Source organism: Homo sapiens, chromosome 17 (genome assembly GCF_000001405.40).
Source record: "Homo sapiens chromosome 17, GRCh38.p14 Primary Assembly".
In the NCBI taxonomy this organism is placed as follows: Eukaryota; Metazoa; Chordata; class Mammalia; order Primates; family Hominidae; genus Homo; species Homo sapiens.
This window is the reverse complement of record NC_000017.11, coordinates 77,386,863-77,407,215: the sequence shown is the minus strand read 5'-3', so window position 1 is coordinate 77,407,215 and position 20,353 is coordinate 77,386,863. Positions and strand designations below refer to the sequence as shown.

Sequence of the window (20,353 nt, the reverse complement as noted above, 5' to 3'; positions counted from 1 at the left end):
AACCTCCCATGCTTAGGTGGTCCTCCCACCTCAACCTCCCCAGTAGCTGGGACTACAAGCGCATGCTATCATGCCTGGCTAATTTTTTGTATTTTTTGTAAAGATAGGGTTTCTCTATGTTGCCCAGGCTAGTCCCAAACTCCTGGGCTCAAGCAATCTGCCTGCTTCGGCCTCCAAAGTGCTGGATTTACAGGCATGAGCCACTGCACCTGGCCCCTTATGGGATTCTTTATAAAAACCAAGACAGGCTGGGCACGGTGGCATGATCCCAGCACTTTGGGAGGTCAGGGAAGCTGAGGTGGGTGGGTCACGAGGTCAGGAGTTCGAGACCAGCCTGGCCTATATGGTGAAACCCCGTCTCTACTAAAAATACAAAAGTTAGCCAGGCGTGGTAGCCCACGCCTATAGTCCCAGCTACTCGGGAGGCTGAGGCAGAAGAATCGCTTGAACCTGGGAGGCAGAGGTTGCAGTAAGCTGAGATCATGCCACTGCACTCCAGCCTGGGTGATAGAGAGAGACTCCATCTCAAAAAACAAAAAACAAAAAAAAAACACAAAAAAAAACAAAGACAACAGCCCTACCCTCAGAATCTAGTGGGGGCATGAAAGGAATTTTGAAGACTATACAGCAAAACCTCAAGCATGGATATCGCTGGCTTACAGGTGAATTTTAGGTTCTTTCTCATTTCTGTACTTCCTGCATTTTAAAGAAAGGGTACTCGATTACTTTTTATGATCTGAAAAACTACTTTCACATTTAAAAAAAAAAGTCTAGCAGAGGAAAGAAAGTTTATACACAAATCATTTATATCCCAAGCCAAACACGAGGTATTTGGACCAGGTTTTGAGGGATGCATAGGAGTTCACCAAGGCAGTGATGTAAAGAGAAGCAGAGGTCAGGGTTCAGGAGGTCAGGGCAAAGGGGTTGTGAGGAAAGGTGTGAGAGACCAAGGGAAGACCAAAGCAGGAGAAGCTGGGAAGGAGAGAGGTGTGAGCTGAGCAGGAGAGTGAATCAACCGTGGAGGGGCCTATGGTGAGTGAGCAGAGAAGGCTCAGCACGGGAAGAGATCTCAGCAGTGCTGTGCTTTGGGGAAGTCAGTCTGGGAGCAATTCAGCTGGGGCCCCAGGAGACCCTGCCCTGCACCCACAGCTCTGGGGTGGAGACAAACCACAGCACAGATGCCCTCCCGCAGGCAGAAGCCAAGGGGCTGGGCGTCTGCTCAGAGGGCACGGAACTCCCTCCATGATTCCTTTCCCCATGGTGCCAGCTGGATCCCTGGTGCTCGGGGGACAGAGGGGCCGCAGAGATTGGTCAGAGCTGTGCATGTCGGGGCTCAGGGAACTCCCAGCCCAGCCCCACATGGAGGGGCAGAAGGGGATGGGCCTGAAGGAAAGATGGGCAGGAAGCTGAGTTGGAGAGAACTGGATCCGTGTCCAGAACGGTCGTGACACAGAGAGGGAGGACGGAGAAGCAAGCAGGTGGTGCCTCGGAGGAAGAACTAGTGGGGCTCAGGCCTGGGCCCCCCGAGAAGCCACTCCCATCGGATTTCAAGAGCACTCCTCCATTGGGAAGGCCCTGCCCTCGTCTGTCCCTGCATTTCCTCCACCTGGACTTGCTTAGGCCCTCAGGACTGTCAGCCCAGCCCACGGACCTCTCCACGTGAGCTGGACTCCCACCTGCACAGGTCCCTGTCCGTGGGTGGCCGGGTCTGGGATGCTGATGGTTTTCTCCCATGCCCCGGCTCCAACGTGTACATCCTATTCCATGGAGAAAGCCACCGTCCCCCCAGAGCGCCAGGTTCCTGGCAGCTCTGAACGCTGCTGCCTCCACGTGGCCTGCCTTTCTCTCCCCTTCCTGGCCTGATGAAATTGTACTTCCACTGCTGGGGAAGCTCCCTGGACACTCCTTGTGTCCCAGCCATCCTGCTCACGGCTCGGTGAGCTCCAGAAAGCAGAGCCCGCAGGTTGTGTCCCTGGGCCTGGCTCCCGGCACAGTCTCTGGCACAATTTAGGGGCTAAACTGTGTCTGCCCCTGGAGGAGAATGTTCTTGTACATCCCCATGGACATCCCCCTACCTGTCCCCCAGAGCCAGGACCACGTCCCTGTGCATCCAGCACCAGCCATCACCGAGATTTAGATGGCTCGGTGACAACCGCCTCCCCAGCCACATCCTGTTTGACTCAGCTGAGTGTGAACACATCAACCCAGGATGGGGGTGTATCCGGCACGTCAAACAAAGGTCCTGCACCAACAGAAGGCAGGGGAGGAAACAGCCTCCTGCCACTCTGCAAACTGCCCATGCCTTTGGCCTGACACCATGCCACCAGCAACCACTGTCACTGAGTCTGGGTGGCTGGGGCAGGGTGGCTCTTCAGAGTCAAGCTTAGAGAGATGGGAGAGGGAACACGGGACTCGCACACTGAGGGCCGGAAAGGACCTTCCAAGGCCCACTAGCCTCTGGCTACTCAGTGTGTTCCGATGCCCCCTCTGTAGGAAATGCAGAGTCCCAGGCCCCAGACCCGCCAAGACAAATGTGCACTCCACATGCCCATGAAAGCATGAGGAGCACTGGTCTCCCCCCAAACCCACACCCTCTCCAGGCCCCACATCCTCCCAGCCCCCAAGCCCACTGACCACTGGAGAACTCTCATTCAAAAAGAAAAACCAAAAAGGGGTTGGGTGGCTCATGCCTATAATCCCAACACTTTGGGAGGCCGAGGCAGGAGGCTCATTTGAACCCAGGAGTTTGAGACCAGCCTGGGCAACCTAGTGAGAACCTGTCTCTACAAAAAAAATTTAAAAATTAGCCAGGCATGGTGGCGCGCAACCTGTGGTCCTAGGTACTTGGGAGGCTGAGGCTGGGGAATCACTTGAGCCCAGGGGGCAGAGGTTGCAGTAAGCAGTGATCACACCACTGCACGCCAGCCTGGAGGACAGAGCAAGACCCTGTCTCAAAAAAGTCAAAGAAAAGTCAAAGAAGATGGAAAGAGGGACTTAGAGAGATGTGGAAGCAACCCAAGGGTCCACCGATGGAGGAACAGCTACACAACACAAGTGCATCGCACAACAGAATATTATTCAGCCTCTGAAAGGAAGGAAATTCTGCCCCATGCTACAGCACGACGGATGAACCTTTAGGACGTCATGCTGAGTGAAATGAGCCAGACACAAAATGGGCAGTTATTGTATTTTTCCACACACACAAGGTTCCTAGAGTGGTCAAATAAATTCATAATAAAGACAGAAAATAGAATGGTGGCTGCCAGCAGCTGGGGGAGGGGCATGGGGAGCTTGGTCTAACGGGGACGGAGCTCAGTTTGGGAGGATGAAAAGGGTACCGGAGATGGACAGCGGTGGCAGCTGCGCAACACCGTGAATGTACTGAATGCCGCTGAAACGTACACTGCAAAGTGGCTAAAATTGCACATTGTATGTTGTGTATTTCACCACGGTTAGAAATAAGAAGCAGCAGCTAAATCAAAAACCCAGACTGTGCTGTTTGTCCAACCTAAAGAAGGCTTACTGAGCATTACTGAGTTCTGATCCTGTGCCCAGAATCAGACCTGGCTCTTGAGGGGCTTCTAACCCAGCTGGCACCTTACTATAGCCCCATGGAGCCACGATCCCTGCTGGGGCCAGGGGGCACGCTTCTGAGAAGGGACCCAACCATGTCCCACAGCCTGGCATTTCCAAACAGGCCCTGTGTCCCACAGGACTGGCACCAATCCCCTGCCTGTAAGCTCCATGTCAGCACGGCTGTGGGCTTGAGCCCTCCCAGGACGCTGCTGGAGCCCCATGGCCTCTCTCCTCTCGCCAGAAGGGCACCCCCAAATAAAACCGTGTGCAGCTATCACACAGCCCCCTGGTCCAGGCACCCCTTCCCAGTGCCCTGAGAATTTTGTCCTGCAGGCTAAGGTGCTCCTCATGTTCCCCTCCCTCTGCCACAACCATCCCTCCTGGGGGAGGAGGACCAGACCATGGGCTCCAATGCAAGCCTCAGGAGGCATACGTCCCTCCTCCCTTCCCCAAGCCCTCGGCCTCTGCTGGGCATATCCAGGCAGCCTGCAATTCCTCAAGCAGGAGCCACCAGAATGTGACAGCCCTTCTAGGGGTCTCAACTCCACCCTGTCCTACACCCCTGCATGAGCCTGCCCTGGTTCCTGCGTGGCTCCTCATTCTCTAAGCCTCCCAGGCCCTCCAGGGACACACAGCAGACAGAGGTCCCAGCAAGGCCCACGGTGACCCATAAAGGAGGCTCCTTGAAACCCAGAAAATCTTTCCAAACTCTCATTCAAGTCCCGCTTGGGGCATCTTGGCATGTTCCCATCAGACAGAGAGAGCCACCTCTCCTGAGCTTGCAGACCCCCACCCCCATGCATTCCGGTCTTTCTGGGTCTCCAGGGTAGCACCCTCCACCCCATATCCAGCTTCTTCCTCCAAGATTCTGTGGCAAAGCCAGCAACCAGGCCCCCCATTACCACAGCATCCAAGACCTAGCGCTCTGCGACTCACCCTCCTGGCTCCGGGGTGTAGCCTCAGCCACAGGGGGCTGGGGCTTGGGCTCCAGCCTGCTCTGCAGCTGAGACACAGGGGCAGGCTCTGAATTCTCCAAGGTCTGGGCTGGGCTGGGGGCGGTGGGCGCCTCAGCAGGCTTGGGCATCTGGATCTCCACCCTCTTGGGGGCTGCGTCGGTGGCAGGGGCAGTGGGCACCTCGGGGACCTTGGAGGCAGGGGGCTCCATCCTCCGGTGGGCTGACTCCTGGGGTTTGACGATGGTGATCTCCGTCCTCCGAGGGGCCGGTTCTGGCGTCTTGTGGCCCAACACCTCGGCCCTCTTGAGCCCGAACCGGGACGGGCCGATGGCCCCGGCGTTCTCCACCTGCTTGGACGAGATGTCAATGGACAGCTCAGTGCGCCGGGACACCGGCTCGGCCGCCTTGGGGCCCGAGAGCTCCACCCTCCGCAGGGACGCCTTGGGGGAGCGTTGGCTTAGGGAGTCCACATGGCGGGCCGAGGGTTCTGAGTTCTTCACGCCCAGGTCCTGGAATTTCTGGGTGGAGCTGGCCACAGTGGCTCGGAGTAGGGGAGTCTGGACCCTCCGGGGTGGGGTGGAGTTGGGTGTCTCGACCTCCTCGACCTCAAAAGATCTTTTCAAGGCTGAAAAATAAAGAGAGGGGATGCAATTGGTGAATGGATGGCTAGGGAACACTCCGGCATGTTTCCTGCTAAGGAGCAGCAGAGGAAGGCAGGCGATGCGGCGGTGAGGGCCGGGGGTCTCTTCCCGTCCTTCATGTCTCAGCAAGCGGAAGGGACAGCCCCATCCTAGGAGAACCATCATGAGTTCTGGGGCAGAGATGCAGGCTGGAGTGGGAAGATGCTGCCCGTCGTGTCTTGCCATGGCCACGGCGCAAACCACACAGCCTCCCCCTCCAGCTACGTCTACATAGGAACGTTCTAGTTCCAGAGAAGACTTTTATTTCCTTCTTTTTTTTTTTGAGATGGAGTCTTGCTCTGTTGCCCTGGCTGGAGTGCAGCGGCACCTCCCGGGTTCAAGCGATTCTCCTACCTCAGCCTCCCCAGTAGCTGGGATTATAGGCACGGGCCACCATGCCTGGCTAATTTTTGTATTTTTAGTAGAGATGGGGTTTCACCATGTTGGTCAGTCTGGTCTCGGACTCCTGACCTCAAGCGATCCACCCGCCTCGGCCTCCCAAAGTGCTGGGATTACAGGCGTGCGCCACCGTGCCCGGCCTTGATTTCCTTCTTGTCGCGGCTGTTTTTATCCCTCCTCACCTCCAGCCAAGGCACACACTGGGACACCACCAGCAAACACACCTCTACCATCAGCCACAGCGGGGGACATGCCTCCAATAATAAGTGACCGCAACTGTAACCAATCAGAACCGCAGCAGGAACAAAACCCCATCAATGACACTAAGGGCGGACACTGGAGCTTTCAGTGCCGGCGAGGCGCCGGGCCTACCGAGCTCATCACATCTGCAGCCGCTTAACCCTGGGATGTAAAGAATACCAGTACCCCCAGTACAGATGGGGAAAGTGGGGCACGGGGTAGACACAGAGCCAGACTGTACATCAGGCTGATACCAGAGCCCAAGGTTCTAACCACTTGGTTGTCCGGCTCCCCCAGCTTAGTCCACAGGAACCAACTTTCTCAGTCATCAGCCTCTCCTGCATCTTCCCATCCACTACTACAAGCCCGTGCAGTGATGCCAACCACCAGCTCCCGCCCTGCAGCCATCCTGCCTCTCCACCAGGGTCTGCTCCCTCGGAGGCAGTGGGGATGGTACCTGGGAAGCTGCCACCTCCACAGTCCCCACAACCGCACTCCAAATGAGAGCCAGCCGCTCCTGGTTATCAGGGCCAGAGCAGGGAGGGACCCACATGGCAGGCACATTCACCAGCTCCTTCCCCAGGCCAGACCCACAGCGCACCCCTGTGGAGACCCACAGTGTCTCCCCAGCCGCTCCCTGCCTCACCAGGCCACAGAGTCCGGGTCTCATGGGATCCCACCACTGCCTCCCCTGCCCACAGGAAAAGGGATGACAGCTGGTCCCCAGCCCCCAATAATAGCGCTCCAGGACCAATTTCAGTGCCTTCCCCTCACCCGTCTCTCTTCCTCCAAATGCACTCAGGCACTGGGGAGGGGAAGAGGAAGCCCAACCCCCTAACCCTGGCCGCCTCAGCTGCCAGCTTCCTGGGCAAGGCACTCCTGTGGGCGCCCTCTCTAAGCCACAGGCACCTCTCCTTCTTGGTGGACACAGACGAAATCCTGGGTCACTAAGCTCAACCTCCACCAGAAGCTGGGCAAGGAGCCGTGTGGACTCCAGAGAACTCTCAGTTGTCACAGGCCCTGTCTCAGCTCCGTCACTGCCCTAGAGGATATGGGCCCGGCGTGGCCAGAGCTGTTCACTTCTCAAGAGAGTAGAAATCTGGATCTTTATATGATATCTCCTGATCTTTAAATGCTGGCACAAAGCAAAACAAGCCCTTTTTAAAACACTGAGCAGCCTGGCTGATGTGGTGAAACCCCATCTTTACTAAAAATAAAAAATTAGCTGGGCATGGTGACACTCGCCTATAGTCCCAGCTACTCAGGAGGCTGAGGCAGGAGAATCGCTTGAACCCGGGAGGCAGAGGTTGCAGAGCTGAGATCGTGTCACTGCACTCAGCCTGACTGACAGAGCGAGACTCTGTCTCCACAAACTAAAACTAAAAATAAAATAAAACACCGCAGGGCCAAACAAAATCAAATCCACAGGCTGTATTCGCCTATGGGTCCAGCCATGACCTCTAGCTGATCACGTGGCCGCAGGGCAGCAGGACACTGAGCCCCAGAGTCAGGGGTGTGCCAGGTGTGGGCTCCCGACATGGTGTCCCTCTGTCCCTCTGCACCCTGCATGCAAACTGCTGGCTGTGTTCTGATTCTGCAGAAGCCCCAGGGCCCCAAGGAAAGGTTGAATGTCCACTTCTACCAGCCAGAAAGTCCAGGGTTCAATGCCCAGAACTGAATGTAATGAGATGGGCTTACCAAGCTCATCACATCTACACCCGCTTAAACCTGGGCTGTAAAGAATATTATTACCGCCCCCGTACAGATGGGGAAAGTGAAGTACGGGGTAGACACAGAGCCAGACTGTACATCGGGCTGATGCCAGAAAGTGCAGAGCTCAATGCCTGGGTCCTCGTGCGGTTCCCAGGGCCTCCCGCGGTCCTCTGATCTGCTCCCTGCCTCCTGAGCACTGTCCAAACTGTCCCCACATGGTGTGCCTCTGTCCTATGGGTGCTGTAGAGCAGGGGCCGGCTTCCAGGTGTCCTCAGCATCCTTCCGTGCGGTCAAGTTGGAGAACAGAAACTAGACAGGAGAAGGCCTTGTCCCAGGTCCAACCCAAGAAAACAAATGACCTTCCCTGGGAGATCCGGTGAACCCCCTCCTTGGGAGTCCCCTTGGAGTCACCCCCACCATGGCCAACTCATGATCGAAGACACTGCACCAAAGCAGAGGCTGCCCTGGTGTGAGCTTACGATTGAGTCTACGGTGCGGATGCAATGATTTATTCCAGCCAGGCCCACGTGCACAAGCGGATCATTCTAGAACCGGAGCTGGCCCCTCCCCTAGGGCACTCCTCCTTCCTCCAGTTGTCTGCGTGGCTGGCGCCTCACCACCTTGGCCATCTGCGCAAAATGCACATGTGTGCCGGTCCCCAACCATCCTCTCCTCTCTTTCAATGCTTGGTGTCTTTTCATGGATGGGTCCCTCCCTCCCCACTAGCTGGCCTCTGTGCTTACTGCCTGGCTCTATGATCCCTCTGGGTGTTTCGGTCCAGCACCACTCCCATGCCCACTAGCTCTCAGTAAGCTCTGAGACAGCAGGGGCTGTTCCACCCGCAGGGGCCACCCCACCATCAGGACGGCGCTGCTCAAAGGCGAGTTTGTTCTAGATAACAGCCAGGAGATCTCACAGCCTCCAGAACTGCAAGAGAATACAACTGTGTGCTAGAAGAACAGTGAGAACAGGAGGCGCCCCATTCCGGAGGTGTCCATCTTCCCCAGGAGATGCCCCACTCTGGGGGTGTCCATCTTCCCCAAGGAAACCATGTCCCGGCTGGAATGTCAAGAAGGTGACACCTAAATGAAGAGGTGCCCACCCTGGCTCACGCCATCCCCCCAAACGAGCATGCCACCGCCTCCTCCTCCTCTTGGGAATCCTCCTCAAAGCCAAGCCCACTCCAGCCCCCTTCCCGGGGAGCTGGCCTCCCACACAGTCCACACCACCCCCTCCCCATGTCATCCTGGCCACGTCATGACTGTTGAGATTGGCTACGAGGGGTGTGTTCCGGCTCCCCGGGAACAGAGTTGAATGTTCTCTACTCCATGACACCATGCCTTCACCAGGCCTCAGGCGCTTCTAGAAAACCTACTAAGCCAGGCGTGGTGGCTCACGCCTGTAACCCCAACACTTTGGGAAGCCAAGGTGGACAGATCGCTTGAGCCCAGGAGTTCAAGACAAACCTGGGCAACATGGCAAAGCCCCGACTCCACTAAACAATACAAAAATTGGCCAGGGGTGGTGGCATATGCCTGTAATCCCAGCTACTCGAGAGGCTGAGGTGAGAGGATCACTTGAGGCCAGGAGATCAAGGCTGCAGTGAGCCATGATCACACCACTACACTCCAGCCTGGATGACAGAGTGAGACTCTGTCTCAAAAAAAAAAAACAACCAAAACCTACTAAATGCCAGGCGTGGTGGCTCATGCCTGTAATCCCAGCACTTTGGGAGGCCAAGGCAGGCCCAAGGCAGGCGGATCACCTGAGGTCAGGAGTTCGAAACCAGCCTGGCCAACATGGTAAAACCCTGTCTCTACTAAAAACACAAAAAATTAGCTAGGCATGGGGGTGGGCGCCTGTAATCCCAGCTACTTGGAAGGCTGAGGCAGAAGAATCACTTAAATTCGGGAGGCAGAGGTTGCAGTGAGCCCAGATCGTGCCACAGTACTCCAGCCTGGGCGACAAAGCAAGACTTCATCTCAAAAAAAAGGCTGGATCACAGGATCACAGGATAGGCACAAGCCCTGAGGGAGCTCCCAAGGAGGAGGGACGCACTAGACCTTCACCCCCATTTCAGCCTGTGAAGATTCACTTTCGTCTGAGGTTCTGTAGAGGGTTGACTAGTGACCCCCAAAAAGACATGTCTAATACCTAACCCCAAGAACCCACGAATGTGACCTTATTTGGAAAAAGGGTCTTTGCAGATGTGATTAGGGATCCCGGGATGAGACTATCCTGGATTTGGGATGGGCTCTAAATCCAGTGCTCGGTGTCCTTATAGGAGAAAGGCAGAAGGGGACTTGGGACACAAAGAGACACGGTGGGGAGGGCTACGTGATGAGAGCAGAGACTGCAGATGCTGCCAGAGCCAAGGAGCGCCTGGGCCAACGCAAGCTGGAGGAGGCAAGGAAGGGTCCTCCCCTCGAGCTGTCGGAGGGAGTGTGGTCCTGCCAATACCTTGATGTCAAACTTGTGGCCTCCAGAACCATGAGCGAATCAATCTTTGTTGGGCCACTTGGTTTCCAGTAATTTGTTCCAGCAGCCCCAGGACACTCACAACGAGACCCCTGGGAAGATGAAACCCCTGGCTGCACAGTGGCCCAGGGTGAGGCTAGCTGGTGTGGTCACCCACTCTCCAGCCCAGCCCCAATCCCACCACAACCACATTCGACAAATGGCCCACTGTGGGCCAACGGACACGTGGCCATTCCAGAGCTGCCACATCAGGAGCCCAGAGGAGCGAGAGCTGCCTCCTTCCCCCTTCTTGGAGTCGCACAAAAACCCCAGATGGTTGGAGAAGTCATCGGAGGAATCACATCACTCTAGATTCTTGTTTCATTGCTGGGATATGTGGCAATGAAACAAGATCATCCCTGCCAGGGATGCCTCATGGGCAATTGCCTCCCCACGGAGGACATTGTGAGTTGTACCCAGCCGGGAAACATTAGGAGATGTCTGTCACCAGGCTGGCAGAACAGGGCTCCCCAGCATCTCCTCCCCCATCAGAGTCCTAAGACTGCGCCCTGGGTCCTGCAGTCACACACGGTCGCCCCTCTCTTCCCAATGTGCAGGCCTCCTGGGAAGCCCCCTGCCACCATCCTCACAGTGGAACCGGCATAACCTGCCCAGGGGTAGCAGGTCCTTGTCACTTTACACGTCTCCATCTTCCCTGTGGAGGGAGACGCAGCCAAGGGGTATCCACATTCACCCACAGAAGCGAGAGTGTTCGTGAGCTTGTCATTTTGCAGATTTTAGAACCCCGTACGTGACTGCACAGATCCACAGGCCCAACTGGGCAGATTCAAAGGACCCACGCAGCAGGGAGGAGCACCGGACAGCTTCCTCCTCTGTCTGCAAGGAGTTAATGCAACTGAAGGACACAGAAGAGGCTCCCAGCTGAGCATCACAACTGTGGACCGTGCACAGTGTCAGAAAGATGCGGAGCCAGGTCATGTTGGGAGGATCCCCATGCTGTCACTGGAAGGTAAAGCAGTGTCACCCCCCCACCCATAGAGCAGGAGGTTCCCACCTTTGCCAGCCATCTCCTTCATCTGTGAATTCAAGTCCCCTAAAGCCAGACTCCAATCTCGCAAGCTCCCAAAAGCCTCCCTGGGTCCCTTCTCCAATCCCCACCGATCTCAACTTGCTCCAAAAGCCTGAAGACCGTTCATGTGCTTTGGCCCACTTCTGGGAATTTATCCCAAGGAAATAATCAGAAGTACAGAAAGATTTACGTACGAGGACATTTGCATCAGCATTAAACTGACAAAACCTGGAAACAGTCCGGGTTTCCGCAGATTTTCTAAACCCATATGTCAAAGGCCTGCACCATCATTAAAATCACATTTTTGAAGATGAGAAATGCCGAGAATATTAAGTAAAAATAGCAGGACACAAGATGTATACAAAGATCCTAATTCCATTTCATACACACATGTGCAGTTTGCACGCACACACACACTCACACCCGGGCAGAAAATAACGATCTCTGGATGGAATGAATGGCGGTGGGTGTTGTTCATTACATTTTCCTGCCTTCTGAGATGCTTATACTACATGGGGATCACTTAGCATGTTCAGGGAATAAAACCATCGATATTGTTCTTTTTTTTTTTTTTTTTTGAGACAGTCTCGCTCTGTCGCCCAGACTGGAGTGCAGTGGCGCAATCTCGGCTCACCGCAAGCTCCACCTCCCAGGTTCACGCCATTCTCCTGCCTCAGCCTCCCGAGTAGCTGGGACTACAGGTGCCCGGCCACCACGTCTGGCTAATTTTTTTGTATTTTTAGTAGAGACACGATTTCACCGTGTTAGCCAGGATGGTCTCAATCTGCTGACCTCATGATCCGCCTGCCTCGGCCTCCCAAAGTGCTGCGATTACAGGCGTGAGCCACTGCACCCGGCCAATATTGCTCTTAAAAAACACACCTTGGTACTGGCTGGGCATGGTGGCTCACACCTATAATCCCAGCACTTTGGGAACCTGAGGCTAGAGGATCGCTTGAGCCAGGAGTCCGAGACCAGCCTGGGCAAATGGCAAGACTCCATGTTGGAAAAACAAAATTAAAAAAAAAAAAACACACACATACACAGACCTTGATGCCAACAAGCTGGAGGGTGTGGGTAACTGCATGCTGGCCCATCCCCATCCCCACCTCTGGAAAAACATCTCACAGCCCAGGATGGGCACAGGGCTTCTCCTATTCTCAAGCACCTACGGTCTCAGCTGCTACACAAAAAGAGGCCACAGTGGGCCACCCTCCAGATGCAAACTTTCCCCTCCAGGCCCATGGCGGGGTCGAAACAGGAGCAGCCTGGACCTGGGCCTATTTAGAGAGGAATGTGCCGCACAAGGGACCATTGTTAAGGCCCCTGCTCTGACCACAGGCTGCCTGGCAAACCGCTCCCAGCTCCTGAAACCAGATCAAGCACTTCCTGGTGTACATATCAGGCCTCAGTCTGGGGAGGGAACACCAAGCGAGCCACAGAGCCCTGCTCCAGCCTGGGACAAATGTCATGCAAAGAAATGGTAGAGCCCAAGGTCAGAATAATCTCATGCGCAGCTCAGCTCTCGTAGGAGGGAGCAACGTGGCCTCTGCCCAGGGCAGGGTGGAATTCCAGGCTCAGGTTCCAGGAACGCTAGCCCTGGTCAAACTGGGTCTCCTCTGAGCAGCAGCAAAGCAGGTTCTGTCCCTGAAGAAACACTGGCTATCTAGGAGCCAGGGTCAGGGCTCAGGGAAGCCGGACAGATGGTGCCAAGGAGTAGGGAAGCACCTCCCTGTATGCTACCCTGAGCCTGCAGGAAAAAGCCACGGGAAAACCTCACCTGGCAGATAACTCCCCATAACCCTTAGGATCTACAGAGTGAGTCCAGCAGCATGTACGCCATGGGCACCTCCTTGTCTTCACTCTCCTGTGACACTGGACCTTGGCACAGGTCCCTGATCTGTGTAGGGTGGGGTGGGTAGTCAGGCAGGGCCTTGGCGCTGGCAGAGTGGGGTCCAGTTGCAAAGGCTCCTTCACCTCCTATTTATCCAGGACTTGGGGGACGAGGCCCAAAGGCCTGGTGTGCCTTCAAGGAGCTTAAGGACTGCTCCAGGGCTGGAGACAGGACGTATGGGCCTGCACAGGGACCGTGCTCTTTATTTCAGGGCTGAGAGCAGGAGAACCAAACAGGAGAGTGACATAACCACAGTCTACTCTGAGCCTCAGTGTCCTCAGTGTCACCTGCTGTAGGAGGTGATGGGGTAATAAGGTGCCCCTGAGGCCAGGCGCGGTGGCTCATGCCTGTAATCCTAACACTTTGGGAGGCTGAGGTGGGTGGATCACCTGAGGTCAGGAGTTCGAGACCAGCCTGACCAAAATGGAGAAACCCCATCTCTACTAAAAATACAAAAATAGTCAGGCGTGGTGGTGCATGCCTGTAATCCCAGCTACTCGGGAGGCTGAGGCAGAATAGCTTGAACCCAGGAGGCGGAGGTTGTGGTGAGCCGAGATTGTGCCATTGCACTCTATCCTGGGCAACAAGAGCGCAACTCCATCTCAAATAAAAATAAATAAATAAATAAAAAATAAGATTCCCTGGGTGCAGGCATGGCACGCGGCAGGGGTGACTGTTGCTGGTGTAATTACCATCTCCTGGGTGTGTGTCTGTGGGGGCTGTGCATGCTGAAATGTGTGGTCACCTTGCTGGTGACCAAGGCTGTCCTGGCCTTACTGCTACCAATCACGCCCACTGACTTCACATGGCCTATTTCCGTGTCTCCACCCAGAGCCTTTCCTAGTGCCCAAGCCCTCGGAAGGCTGGAAGGAGTGAGCAGTGCAGTCCTTGGCCAAGAACTGAAGTATAAAAACCCCAGCTCCCTTACCCAACCCCAGGTGGGACAAGGCTGGGGGCACGGTCTGCAGTCTCCCCATGCTGCCCGGTATGGGGGCTGGGCAGCCACCTGTGGTCACAATGAGCTGGTGAGGCACCCTTTATTGGCTGGATTCCCTGCCTGGCCCATTCCCACACTCAGGCATCCCCTGGTGTCCCCTCCCACTGAAATCCCTGTCTCAGGACCTGCTTCTGGAGGGACACAAATTAGCCCTCCAGAATTGGCCTGGGCTGCTTGGTGGAGGAGGGAGGTGGCTCCTGGGGCAGGTGGAGCAGGCTCCGGATAGGGAGGAGGACACAGTTGGGGTGATGGGGAGGGGTGTGTTCTCAGGAAGCAAAACCGTCCAAAAGGAAAGGCTTAAAAATAGGCGCAGTGAAGCTGAGCGGAGCCTGCAAAGGGAAGCCAGGAAACAGCAGTGTCAGTGGAGGGCGGCCCCCAGGCTCCCCACAGAGAGCCACATTTGTTTAGGGACAGGGACAACGTGAACAGAAGGCAAAGTCCACATCAAGGCGGAGGAGGCGCTCCCTCCTTAGAGAGCCGCAGCCAGATAGTTCAAACCTGCCAAAGGTCTGGGAGGGAAGAACCAGGGTACCACCCCACCCCCAGCTCAATCCCTTTCCCAGTCCCCTCCCCCTCTGCCTTCCCAAGGCCAGGCCTGGCTGGGCCACAGTGCTAGCAGCTAAGACCCGCCTCCAGTGCCGGCCCAGTCCGCAGGAGGCCAGCTTGGTGGCCAAAGGTTACTGACTGCCCAGGCTTATCTGCACACGTGGCCCAATGACTGAGGTCTGGGACCTGGGGTCATCATCCACAGTACCTCTGGACAAGGAGGAAAAGAACCATTTCCACTAACCCCTGGATGGAGGTGCAGGGAGCGTCAATAGTATCCCTGAAAACTTCAAATGCACCAGGGGGGTCAGCACCCAGGGAAGAGCCACAGGAGGCCACTCTGATGGATTCTGATGACTATCTTTGCTCAAGTGTTAGGAGGAGGCTTCTTTCTCTCTGCCTCTGGCAACCCTGGGCCCAAGAAGTCCCAGGCACTCCGGAGGTCCTTCCTGCTCATCACAGCCCCACCCAAGAGGCCTGGCTCACTCTGCAATGATGATGTGAGAATGAGCAGGTCTGCCTAGTGCCAGAGCCTGTGGTTGGATTTTCGGCTGAGGCCAAGAGAAATAAACAAGCCTCCTCCTTCCCTCTGCACGCTACAGGAAGAGCAGCTCGCTGGCTGCAAGGGGACCCTCCACCCTGCCTATGGGGCACAGCAGCCCACAGCATTCCTTCCAGAAACGGAGCACTGGCAGGCCTGGGTCCCTGTAAGATGGAACACAAAGGGGTGGGCAGCTGACCTCAACAGCCAGCCCTTGGGATTCCAAACCTTCTCTTATCCCCCAACTTTGTGATGTTAATTTCTCCCTGGATAAAGCTCTCTAACAACCTGGCAAGCCAGCACCAGCTGAACCAGCCCCAGCTTGAACCAGCAGCTTTCCCCAGCCCAGCTACAGTCTCATCCCTCCAGAAGGGAAAAGAAGTCCTACGGATTCCTTTACAAGGAACCTCCAGAATCTGCTATGGTGTCCGCAGGGGACATTGGCACCAACTCTGGGTTTATTAAATGTAGTGGGTTCAACAGTGTCCCCCAAAACGATATGTCTTAAGTCCTAACTCCTGGAACCTGCGAACATGATCACATTTGGAAAACGGATCTTTGCAGATGTAATTAAGGTAAGGGTCTCAAGGTGAGATCATTCTGAATTTAGTGGGCCCTAAATCCAATGGTGAGCATCTTTATAAAAGACAGAAAAGGAGAAAGACACACAGACAGGGGGAGAAAGCCACGTGGAGACAGGGGCCAGAGATCAGAGATGATGGTGATGCGTCTGCAGGCCAAGGAACGCCAGGAATCTCCAGGAGCCGCCGGAAGCTATGTTTGTAAGCCCCCAGGTTGTGGCACTCTGTTACAGCAACCCCAGGATATAGACCCCAGGAACAGAACACAGAAAAGAAACGGGAGGAGGCCTAGAGCCTGCTGTGGCCACTCCAGCCATTCCATTCGACTCCCTCAGTGTCCCGTCAATTCTGAAGCCCCTTCTAGCCACTGAGTCACCGGTTCTGAAAAGGAGATATGGGTGTCCTGGAGCTGGTCTAGCCTGGCAGGAGGCAGCCTCGCCCCACTGCCCTCTCATCAGCCATCAGCTCACACAGGCCCTTCACAGTGGGCAAGTGCGTTGTTGCCCCAGCCTCCGCCGGCCCTTCTCCTGCTCGGTCCCATCAGCCGCAGAGCTTTCTGCTGTTGTCTCCTCTGGCTCAAGAGGCCCATACATCCAGCCTTCCTGGGACAAACCCAGCTCACATCTGTTGTCCCACCGTAGTCATTCAAGGGTCCCTTTCACTAACGTGTCCCCCAAGGGACAGTAAGTTATACGGTCGCCCTACCTGGGGCCAGAATTGTGCCCCACCAGAGCAAGGTCTTGGAGTAACCACACCCAGGGTCAGGGAGCCACCTGTTCAAGAACAGAAACGTGTGGCCGGGCGCGGCGGCTCACGCCTGTAATCCCAGCACTTTGGGAGGCAGAGGCGGGCAGATCACGAGGTCAGGAGATCGAGACCATCCTGGCTAACACAGTGAAACCCCGTCTCTACTAAAAACACAAAAAATTAGCCGGGCGTGGTGGCGGGCGCCTGTAGTCCCAGCTACTCGGGAGGCTGAGGCAGGAGAATGGCGTGAACCCGGGAGGCGGAGCTTGCAGCGAGCCGAGATCGCGCCACTGCACTCCAGCCTGGGCGACAGAGCGAGACTCCGTCTCAAAAAAAAAAAAAAAAAGCGAAATGTGCAGTTTTTTTTTTTTTTACCTCTGAAACATGAAGGGGAGGTGACTGCAGGCCTTCTGGGAAAGATTTCTCTACTCCTTTTTTTTTTTTTTTTTTTTAAGACGGAGTCTTGCTCTGTCGCCCAGGCTGCGGTGCAGTGGTGCCATCTCTGCTCACTGCAAGCTCCGCCTCCCGGGTTCATGCCATTCTCCTGCCTCCGCCTCCCGAGTAGCTGGGACTACGGGCGCCTGCCTGGGACAGCCACGTAGCAGCTTCTGCTTCAAGCCATCTCTCTTTACGCAGAGCAGAACCAGGACCACAGTAAAGGCTCCAGAGGAGGCCACCGCTCACAGGGCCTTGGGTCCTCTTCTTGAAAGGCAGCCCAGCCTCCAAGAGGGCAACAGCGACTGATCCGGGACGAAGGCCTCTCTGTGCCTGCTCCCGTCATCTACCGCGTGCCCCTGGTTCCGGCAGCCACAGGGTCATTCCAGGCGGACTTTAAAGTGGCGCTAAGTTGCTGGACTTCCTCTTTTCTTTACTAAATCAGCTATGGGAATGGGAGCACCTCTGGCACACTCTCAGATGTGCTGCACTGGTCTAGCGCTCCCCCCACCCCCGGGTTCTAAACCAGCTGCTGGCTGCTCCACTAGGAGCAGATTGAGGGGAAATGGGCGGAAGCCGCAGGGGAAGAGATGTGAGGCAGATAAAGAGGAAGAATTTCCTGGCTGGGGTGGGGCCGCCAGGGCCTGGGTGGGAGGGCCGCCCACCCTCCGTCCCTGGTGGAAGGCAGCAGAAGGGTGGGACGGATCTGTGTGGGAGGGTCTAGGTGTGGCCTGCCTGGGGGTAGGAGAGGGACCAGATGACCTTTCAGGTCTCCTTGGGTCAAAGACTCCCTGATAAATGGCTGTCGCTGAAGGCAGGAGCGAGGCCCTGGGAGGTGATTGACTTCGAAAAACCACAGGCTGCAGCTCTGAGGGCCTCAAAGGTTAAGTACGGAGTCCCCCAAAATGAGGCTTTCCTCAGCTTTAATCCACCCACGCCCTTTAGGTGGCCCCAGACACCCCGCCAGGGCCTCTCTGGCAGCTCTCCGTCCTCGATTCTGGAGACAGAGAAACGTGATGCTGGCTCCTGGTCTGCTCATAGCCCCCTCGTCCCCACCACAGGGTCGCCAGCCACCTCCTCAGCCTACCGCGTGCCCCTCCTTCCCCTCTACTTCCGACCCTCCAACAACAGCAGACTCTTCCCCAAACACTCCTTTGCCCAGACCCCGGGCTTCACGCATGCTGCTCTTAGAAATGCATCCCAGCTCCCTGCGAGGAGCCAGCAAGGCTGCTCGGTGCTTCTTCCCATGGATGGGAAGCTCTGCCGGGGACCAGGACCCGGACCTGGAGACCCTGAGGAGCGTGTTGGTCAGTGTCTGTTCTGAGGCCCGGGACAGAGCTGCCAGGCACAGGCAGCATCGGTGTGAGGGTCCAGCCTCCCGGACAAGCTCTCCCTTGTCTGTTCCCAGACCTGTCACTGCACACACAGGCGGTGACCATTCCTGATCTGCCTGGGCAGAGAAGCCACCCCTCCCTCCCTCCTCGTCTCATTGTCCATTAGGGGAAATGTTACAAGCACTTAAAAAATGCAAAAAAAAAAAAAAAAAAAAAAAAGCGCCTAACACCAGGGGCCACTTGGCCCAGGTGGAGCCTCCATTAATCACGGGGCTCTCTGTGTTGTGGCCCCAAGGCGGGCAGCCGATGGCCTCTGCCCGAGCCAATATGAGCTGCAGCCTAATTACAGGGGACGGTGACCCCAGGGAGCAGAGTTCAGGCTCCGGTCACAGCTGCACCCAGGAGCCAGCTGCTTCCCAGACCTGCAGAGCCAGGGGAGAGGTTTGGAGGACCGGCACTGAATGACATGATCCAAAGCGCGCCAAGCTGGGCTGGAGGTGACGGCAGAGCCACAGTGGCCACAGAGCCCCCACGTGAACCTACACGGATCTGCCTGGTTTAGGTTCTGCTGAACTCCAGGGTGAGGAGGACCTGGTCTCCATTCTCAAAGACATGAAGAGGTTGACAAAGAAGAGTCACAGGTAAAAGGGGGTGGTGGGTGTGCTGTGTAGGAGGGGCCGCAACTGGACGCAGAAGATTCCAGAAGGGGTAACCAGAGAGAGGCAGCACCTCCAGAAGACGGGCTGCCTGGCTGCCCCAAACAGCCCAGGGTGTGACTGAGGGGACTCTCGGACTCAGCCGGGGCCCCTCCTGCTCTGAGACAACGCATTGGGAAACTCCATCAAGCCCATCTAAGAACTTGAAAAGCTCCCTGGAAACCTAGCGGGCAGGGCGGGCCCCTGGGAGGACCCCTGGTATACCGCGAGAGCCAGACACAGCGAGGGGGCCCCACACTTCTGCCCAGAAGCCTCACGGTAGAGGGGCAGAAGCCCAGGGAGGAGTAGGCGCTGAGACCAGAGGGGCCTACAAGAGAGGGGTCTGGGGTAGGGGGTAGCTGCTGAGAAGTCCAGGAAACGGCGCCTGCCTTTGGGGAAGTGAAGCTCTGGGAACAGGGCTGGTGAAGGGGGGCGGGAAGGGGGAGGTGGGGGTGGAGGGTCAGGCTAGATCAGGCACCTTCCCCAGCAGCAGATTCATGAGCCTCTGGAATCTGTCCACAGAAGTGACAAGTGTCCTGCTCCCAGCCCCGTTCACACACTCACCCATCAAGTGTGGCAGGGACAGCCGCCTCTTACCATCCACCTTGGGACCTGGACCTAAGTGGAGGTTTCTGGAGGGGCAGATCCAGGGGAAAGGGTCTCCTCAGAAGCAGCCGCCATTCAGAGGACCTGAGATGAGAACCTCATCACGCCCTCATCAGACAGAGGAGATCCGCGGTGTCTCCGAGCCTGGTCTCCCACTCCCCACCCAGCAGCGTTCCCTCCGCTCACCCCAAGCTTAGAACATTCTGCTTCCCCTAAGATCAGCTGCCGCAGTGGACTGAATAGTGACCCCCAAAAGACATGCCAGAGCCCTAGCCCTCGGACCTGTGAATGTGACAGGAGTTGGAATAGGGTCTTTGCAGATGCAATAAAGGATCTCAAGAGGAGAGTATCCTGGATTTAGGGTGGGCTCTAAATGCAATGACAAGCATCCTTACGAGACACAGAGACACAGAGAAAAGGCCATGTGAAGACGGAGCAGGGAGTGGCGTGACGCATCTACATGCCCAGGAGCACCCGGGAGCCACCAGAAGCTGGGAGAGAGGCCTGGGCCGGAGCCTCCCGCAGAGGCCCCAAAGGATCAGCCTGGTCGACACCTTGATTTTGGACTTCTGGCCTCTAGAACCATCTTCAGCCCCCAAAGTTCGTGGGGCTTTGTTGCAGCAGCCCCAGCAAACTGTCACGGGGGCCCTCCTCCCCTGCTAAGCCTGGTACCCAAAGCTCCCCAGCTATCTGGGGCTAACCACACTGACCCTGGGACTTTCAGGTCACCCGTGTGTCCCACTCTTCTGCTTAACCTTCAGTGCCTGTGTGGTCACAGCTTCTCTCTCGTGATATGAGTCCTCTGGGCCTCTGAGTGCTCATCTGCCCTGCACTGAAGGCTGAAGTTAAATCCTGGAGAGAACTGA

At 56.2% G+C, this 20,353-nt stretch overlaps 1 protein-coding gene, 1 long non-coding RNA gene and 1 other non-coding gene across 9 annotated transcripts in view, besides 7 other annotated features; 2 read left to right on the top strand and 1 right to left on the bottom strand.

Moving 5' to 3' along the window:
- SEPTIN9 (septin 9) overlaps nt 1-20,353 on the bottom strand; it is a 219,098-nt gene that overhangs the window by 93,381 nt on the left and 105,364 nt on the right. For 6 of the 7 annotated variants that reach the window (NM_001113491.2, NM_001293695.2, NM_001113492.2 and 3 more), the window contains 1 exon segment: nt 4,513-5,157. In NM_001113491.2, the coding sequence (NP_001106963.1) occupies nt 4,513-5,157 (645 nt within the window). 7 annotated transcript variants of the gene reach the window in all.
- Nucleotides 1,003-1,122: a silencer, noted in NCBI's record as "silent region_9035". NCBI's record gives its function as "represses an Ori minimal core promoter by ATAC-STARR-seq in GM12878 lymphoblastoid cells {active_cell/tissue: GM12878}" and the evidence as "EXISTENCE:reporter gene assay evidence [ECO:0000049][PMID:35858748]".
- Nucleotides 1,993-2,042: an enhancer, noted in NCBI's record as "active region_12831". NCBI's record gives its function as "activates an Ori minimal core promoter by ATAC-STARR-seq in GM12878 lymphoblastoid cells {active_cell/tissue: GM12878}" and the evidence as "EXISTENCE:reporter gene assay evidence [ECO:0000049][PMID:35858748]".
- Nucleotides 8,571-9,289: an enhancer, noted in NCBI's record as "H3K4me1 hESC enhancer chr17:75394009-75394727 (GRCh37/hg19 assembly coordinates)". NCBI's record gives its function as "activates a minimal SCP1, AML or CMV promoter by ChIP-STARR-seq in primed H9 embryonic stem cells {active_cell/tissue: H9 hESC(primed)}" and the evidence as "EXISTENCE:reporter gene assay evidence [ECO:0000049][PMID:30033119]".
- MIR4316 (microRNA 4316) lies at nt 10,162-10,232 on the top strand. The gene has a single exon (NR_036200.1). It is a non-coding gene; the product is annotated as a microRNA 4316 (primary transcript).
- Nucleotides 13,419-14,148: an enhancer, noted in NCBI's record as "H3K27ac-H3K4me1 hESC enhancer chr17:75389150-75389879 (GRCh37/hg19 assembly coordinates)". NCBI's record gives its function as "activates a minimal SCP1, AML or CMV promoter by ChIP-STARR-seq in naive H9 embryonic stem cells {active_cell/tissue: H9 hESC(naive)}" and the evidence as "EXISTENCE:reporter gene assay evidence [ECO:0000049][PMID:30033119]".
- Nucleotides 14,149-14,879: an enhancer, noted in NCBI's record as "H3K27ac-H3K4me1 hESC enhancer chr17:75388419-75389149 (GRCh37/hg19 assembly coordinates)". NCBI's record gives its function as "activates a minimal SCP1, AML or CMV promoter by ChIP-STARR-seq in naive H9 embryonic stem cells {active_cell/tissue: H9 hESC(naive)}" and the evidence as "EXISTENCE:reporter gene assay evidence [ECO:0000049][PMID:30033119]".
- Nucleotides 14,880-15,609: an enhancer, noted in NCBI's record as "OCT4-NANOG-H3K27ac-H3K4me1 hESC enhancer chr17:75387689-75388418 (GRCh37/hg19 assembly coordinates)". NCBI's record gives its function as "activates a minimal SCP1, AML or CMV promoter by ChIP-STARR-seq in primed H9 embryonic stem cells {active_cell/tissue: H9 hESC(primed)}" and the evidence as "EXISTENCE:reporter gene assay evidence [ECO:0000049][PMID:30033119]".
- Nucleotides 17,071-17,801: an enhancer, noted in NCBI's record as "H3K4me1 hESC enhancer chr17:75385497-75386227 (GRCh37/hg19 assembly coordinates)". NCBI's record gives its function as "activates a minimal SCP1, AML or CMV promoter by ChIP-STARR-seq in naive H9 embryonic stem cells {active_cell/tissue: H9 hESC(naive)}" and the evidence as "EXISTENCE:reporter gene assay evidence [ECO:0000049][PMID:30033119]".
- LOC124904062 (uncharacterized) lies at nt 18,464-19,836 on the top strand. Its single transcript, XR_007065918.1, has 2 exons — nt 18,464-18,827; nt 19,404-19,836. It is a non-coding gene; the product is annotated as an uncharacterized LOC124904062 (long non-coding RNA).